Below are 6,509 nucleotides of genomic sequence, written 5' to 3' on the forward strand. Positions count from 1 at the left end.
CACTTTAAAAACAATGTTTTGGAGATTAATAAAGAATATCTCCAGTTGATGAATACACACACAAGTTCAACATAGCTAGTTTGTTCTTTAGATTGAAAAAAGTATTGCTTCAGTTGAGCAAGTTATAAAGTAGTTGGCTTAGGCTTCAGGATCAGATTGTGGAAAAAATATGTGTTGAACATTATATCACGCCAAATTTTTTGTGATACTCATACAATGTGCTTTGAGAGATAGGAGGTGACTGAGAATAAAGAGTGGAAGAATAGATTCAAGTATCTCATCTCACATTCTCACCAGGATGTGTGGCTCATTTAGTGCAACAGGAATGTGCCCATCTGCTTAACTTATCTCTCTCACAGTCTCTCTCTCTCTCTTTCTCTCCCTCTCTGTCTCTCTCTCTCTCTTTCTTTCTCTCTCTCTCTCCATACTTTTATATTTTTCTCTTACACCCTTAGGTTTCTTATAATTGAATTCACATAAATTAAATGCAAGTCTGCAGTTACTTCTTTGCATAACAATTTTTCTTCTTTCTCCTTATCAGCATCACCTGAAATACAATTTATCACCAGCCCTTCTCCAGCTCTACCTCTCCAAATCTACCAGCAATTCAAGATTAATTTCAAATTCAACCCCCACCCAAGAATTTGCAATTCACATATGTTCCTGTCATATCTGAATTATCATTATGCCAATTTCCCTCCTGTTTCACTAAATTAAATACTCATATCAAGGATATTTGCCTTATCACTCCAACAGTTTAGGCAGGAGTGGCATTTTGGTTTATAGCATCAGGCAGAATGGTAAGAACAGTATAGGTAGTGAGAATTCTGGCTTTAGTCCTGGTATCTCTCTAACAGGTTATGTAAGCTCAGTGCTGTTCCTGTGGTACTTCTGATTTTCCTCTTTCTGGGTACACAGTAGGATTGTCCTCCCTAACTTGCTTGGAATTAGACAGGTTCTGTAATTTGCTTTGGCTGATGAAATGTGAGCCTTTCACTTTGAATTGTATAATTTGCTTTTCCCTGACCTCTGCCATGCTCCAGAAAGTGAAGCCTATAGCAATCTGCTTCTCTTTGTGAAGACAACCTGGAGCAGAGGCCCTGACCACTCAAGAAAGACATTTAACATAAACTAGAAATGGATCATTTTTATTAAACAATGGCAATTTTAGGATTGTTTGATACTACAGCATAACCAAGCCTATCCTGTGTAATATGCAGGGAAATTCTATTAACTGCAAAGTAGAGAGAAACTAGATAGTTTGCTTTAAATATCTCATCAAATTTTTACAGGAATCAAAAATATAAAGATGCATGTATGTAAAGATGTAAATAATAAATGTAATGAAAATTCAGAAAATCATTAATAATAAAATATCAAAACCGTCTTAACTCATATTATGTTTATTATTTATTTCTACTTATGATATTCAGTATGATGATCTGAGCTTTGTTTTTTAATACTGAGCTGTTTCTTTTTATATTTCTTGTACATAACCTCTTTAATTTAATGACTATTTATGAAATTGCTAACTATTGGTAAGTAACAGTATTTCAGAGATTTGGTGGATGTTTCAGAGATTATCTCTCAACACAAACAACTATGTGAGATCAATTTAAACTACTCTGGAGCAAGGTATGTATGCAAATATTCAGAAAAAATAAATGTCTATGTAGTAAACATTCTGTGTAAGGAAAAGAGAGTGATATAAAACATCTGGCCACACATCAGGGACATAACTCAACTCCCAGTGAGACCAAATCTGTTATATAAATATATGTTTTATTACTCATGCTTTTAAAACAACACACAACCTTATGACCTGCATTTGTCAGGATTTCCATTTAGTGGAATGGTCACCATGGTGACAATGTGAACTGGCTGATTTGTATATGCTTTCTCATCTAGCGCTGAATGACCAGAGTAGACCACTTGACAGCTGATGTTTTCAGTTATAACAACATATGTGCACCACAGAGTTCATGGAATTGTATCTCAGCCAGTCTGAATCAGTTGATATGGTAGCCAAAATGACTGGTTGACCTCGCTAAGGACCCAGGTATTTCAGGTATCTTATAAACCAGAGTGGACTGATTTAACCATATGGTTAAATGGCATAAAAAAAAAAGTGGCAGTACACTGTCTATGTCCAAGGGTCTTACATGGTAATTGGCAGCAAGACAGACAATTGGGTAAGATTTTGTAGACAATGAAACAGGCATCTACGTTAAAAACTAGATAAAACTGGATAATCATTAATTTTTATGTTTTTATTCAGCTATTTAATCTGATGTAGACACAAAATAAATTTTTCATTTGTGGCAATTTTGAAGTAGAAAAATGAGTATTGCCTTTCTTCTCTTCACCTATAACTTGGCTTTAAAGTTTATCTCAGTAAGAGAGTAGAGATTTTTATGCATGAAATTGGCAGGTAGAAATCGATCAATAAATATTCGTTTAATGAATGAAAGAAAAACATACTAGTAAGCATTTTTAATAGAAAAAATTGACTAAAATATTAACTAAAATGTTTTTAGTTGACAATTCATAAAGCATAATGGCAAGAACTTAATTTTCATGACAATCTAGTGAGAAAGTTTATCACTATCTCAGTTTTATAGATAAATAAATATGAGGTTTACCAAGATTATAGAATTCAGTCAAAGACAGAGAATGGGTAAGTGGCAGATTAGAATTTAGTCTGAATTTTTTAATCCTAAACCCCATGCCACCTAAAATTCAATATGATGCCCATTGTAGTAGATGAATTCAAAATAGTTCTAAGAAAAACAACAAGGTGAGGTTTGATCCATTTTCTTCATTGCTGCTTCTGTAGACTTGAAGGGTTTGTTGAATAAAGAAGTGTTTAAAGTTCCAAATGTCAAAAACAAAATTTTAATAATTTGAGAAGAAAATATATGAAACTATTTTTACACATCATAGAAAGGAAGAATTTAAGTGAAACACACAAAAAAGGACAAACCATAAGGAAAAGACTGGTAATTTTTGACATTAAAATTAAATTTTTATCAGGCTGTAGTTGCTGCACAAAACATACAGAACATAAATAAAATAAAATGTTATTTATGACAAAGGACCAAAAAATGAACTTAAAAGGCAAGTTAGAGACTGAAATATGCTATTTGCAATGCATACAACTAAAAAGGATTATTATTCTAAATATTTAGGGAAATTACACAACTGAATAATCCAATAGAAAAGTGAGCAAAGGGACAGAAATGTGAAACTATGGCTAACTCCAGTGAGAATTAAAATAAAATTATAATAGGATATACAGATTTAACCAATAAAATATAATACCACTTCAGCTATTTTGATAGCAGCCTTGAAAGAAGCACTAACCAAGAAACAATGGCATCCATTGAAGGCAGCCAACTCAAGACAATCTTTCAAGTAGACAGCTGAAAGAGGTGGCCAGGAGTGGTGGCTCACACCTGGAATCCCAGCACTTTGGGAGGCTGAGGTGGGCGGATCACGAGGTCAGCAGTTTGAGACCAGGCTGGCCAACAAGGTGAAACCCCATATCTACTAAAAAAAAAAAAGAAAATTAGCCAGGCATGGTGGTGGACACCTGTAATCCCAGCTCCTCCAGAGGCTGAGGCAGGAGAATCACTTGAACCCGGGAGGCAGAGGTTGCAGTGAGCCGAGACCATGCCATTGCACTCCAGCCTGCGCGACAAAGCAAGACTCTGTCTCAAAAAAATAAAAATAAAAATAAAAATAAAGAAAGAGTCATCTCACTCCCCTACCTCATTTGATCTCCTGCCAAGACTCCTCTCTTGCTGAACCTAAACAGAACTCGAGGAATTTGAACCCGTTAATACATTCCATATGGCAAGACTGCCAGCACAGATAGCAGGTTGGGAAGGATAGAGATTACGTCTGGAGGAAGGAATTAAAGATATTTGGCATGGAGGTTCTGATGTTTGGTGGCCAAAAAGCCGTTTGACAAATATCCTCTACAGGTCTTCATTTAAAAATGTAAAATATGCTTGTGTGGGAAAACTATTTACATTTTTTAAATGGAAAATGAGACACTTCTTTTACATTCTTATAATAAAAGTACAATTTTAAACAGATATAATAAATTCGTTTTTTGATTCAAGTGCATAAATTATCTTTTTACTGGGAGCACACTTTACAAAACAGCATATCCTTAAAACTAGGTTATAAAAATGAAGAGCTTTTAGCAATACCAATTTTAAAAAATCTTTTTCACTCTTGCAAAAAGAATCCTTTAGGGAGTAGTAGTGTTTTAAATAAAGTTTTCTGAAAACGTTCTAGAATAGAGAAGTATATTTCCACAGCAAAAGAAACAATTAAAAGATCAAACAGACAATAATGGGAGAGAATATTTGCAAAATTTTGCCTCTGACAAAAGACTAATATCCAGAATCTACCAAAGACTCAAACAACTCAACAAGAAGAAAACAACCCCATTAAAAAGTGGGCAAAAAACAAGAACAGACATTTCTCAAAAGAAGATATATAAGCAGCCAATAAACATAAGAAAAAATGTTCAATATCACTAATCATCAGAGAAATACAAATTAAAACCACAATGAGATATCATCTTATACCAGTCATAATGACTATTACTAAAATGTCAAAAACAACAGATGTTGGTGTGGATGCAAAGAAAAGGGAACACTTATACACAGTTGGTAGGAATGTAAATTATTTCAGCCTCTTTGGAAAACAGTATGGAGATTTCTCAAAGAACTAAAAATAGAACCACCATTCCACCCAGGAATTCCACTACTCAGTATCTACCCAAAGGAAAATAAATCATGATATAAAAAAGACACCTGTTCTCATATGTTTATTGAACATCAAATAGAAAAGTCATGGAATCAACCTTAGTGTCCATCAACAGTTGATTGGATAAAGAAAATATGGTATACATACACCATGGAACACTATGCAGTCATGAAAAATGAAATCATGTTCTTTGCAGCAACATAGATGGAGCTGAAGGCCATTATCCCTAGTGAAATAACTGAGAAACATAAAGCCAAATGCTTCTTGTTCTCACAAGTAAGAGCTAAACAATGGGTACATATGGACATATAGAGTGAAATCATAGACCAAAATAGCTGGGGGAGAAGGGTGAGGGTTGAAAAATTACCCATTAAGTACAATGTGCACTATTTGAATGATAGGTACATTAAAAGCCCAAACCCCACCATTACAAAATATGCCCATATACAAGGACTTCATGTCTAAAACACCAAAAGCAATGGCAACAAAAGACAAAATTGATAAATGGGATCTAATTAAACTAAAGAGCTTCTGAACAGCAAAAGAACCTATCATCAGAGTGAGCAGGCAACCTACAGAATGGGAGAAAATTTTTGCAACCTACTCATCTGACAAAGGGCTAATATCCAGAATCTACAATGAACTCAAACAAATTTACAAGAAAAAAACAAACAAACCCATCAAAAAGTGGGCAAAGTATATGAACAGACACTTCTCAAAAGAAGACATTTATGCAGCCAACAGACACATGAAAAAATGCTCATCATCACTGGCCATCAGAGAAATGCAAATCAAAACCACAATGAGATACCATCTCACACCAGTTAGAATGGCCATTATTAAAAAGTCAGGAAACAACAGGTGCTGGAGAGGATGTGGAGAAATAGGAACACTTTTACACTGTTGGTGGGACTGTAAACTAGTTCAACCATTGTGGAAGTCAGTGTAGTGATTCCTCAGGGATCTAGAACTAGAAATACCATTTGACCCAGCCATCCCATTACTGAGTATATACCCAAAGGACTATAAATCATGCTGCTATAAAGGCACATGCACACGTATGTTTATAGCAGCACTATTCACAATAGCAAAGACTTGGAACCAACCTAAATGTCCAAAAACGATAGACTGGATGAAGAAAATGTGGCACATATACACCATGGAATACTATGCAGCCATAAAAAACGATGAGTTCATGTCCTTTGCAAGGACATGGATGAAACTGGAAACCATCATTCTTAGCAATCTATCACAGGGACAAAAAACCAAACACCGCATGTTCTCACTCATAGGTGGGAATTGAACAATGAGAGCACATGGAGGCAGGATGGGGAACATCACACACCGGGGCCTGTTGTGGGGTGGGGAGAAGGGGGAGGGATAGCATTAGGAGATATACTAATGCTAAATGATGAGTTAATGGGTGCAGCACACCAACACGGCACATGTATATAACCTGCACATTGTGCACATGTACCCTAAAACTTAAAGTATAATAATAATAAAATTAAAAAAAAATGCCCATATAACAAACCTGCGTATGTACCCCCAAATCTAAAATAAAATAAAAAATTTTAATAAAGAAAAACAGACTAGAGAAGTATTAACATATTTATTCTCACTGTTCTACCAGAGTATTTATAATTAATTTACACTGTTTTTGACCTCTAAAAATAATAATCTAAAATCTAAGAGTTCATTTTACTCACTTGAATATTCTTTTCATT

This window comes from Homo sapiens, chromosome 10 (assembly GCF_000001405.40).
Source record: "Homo sapiens chromosome 10, GRCh38.p14 Primary Assembly".
NCBI lineage: Eukaryota > Metazoa > Chordata > Mammalia > Primates > Hominidae > Homo > Homo sapiens.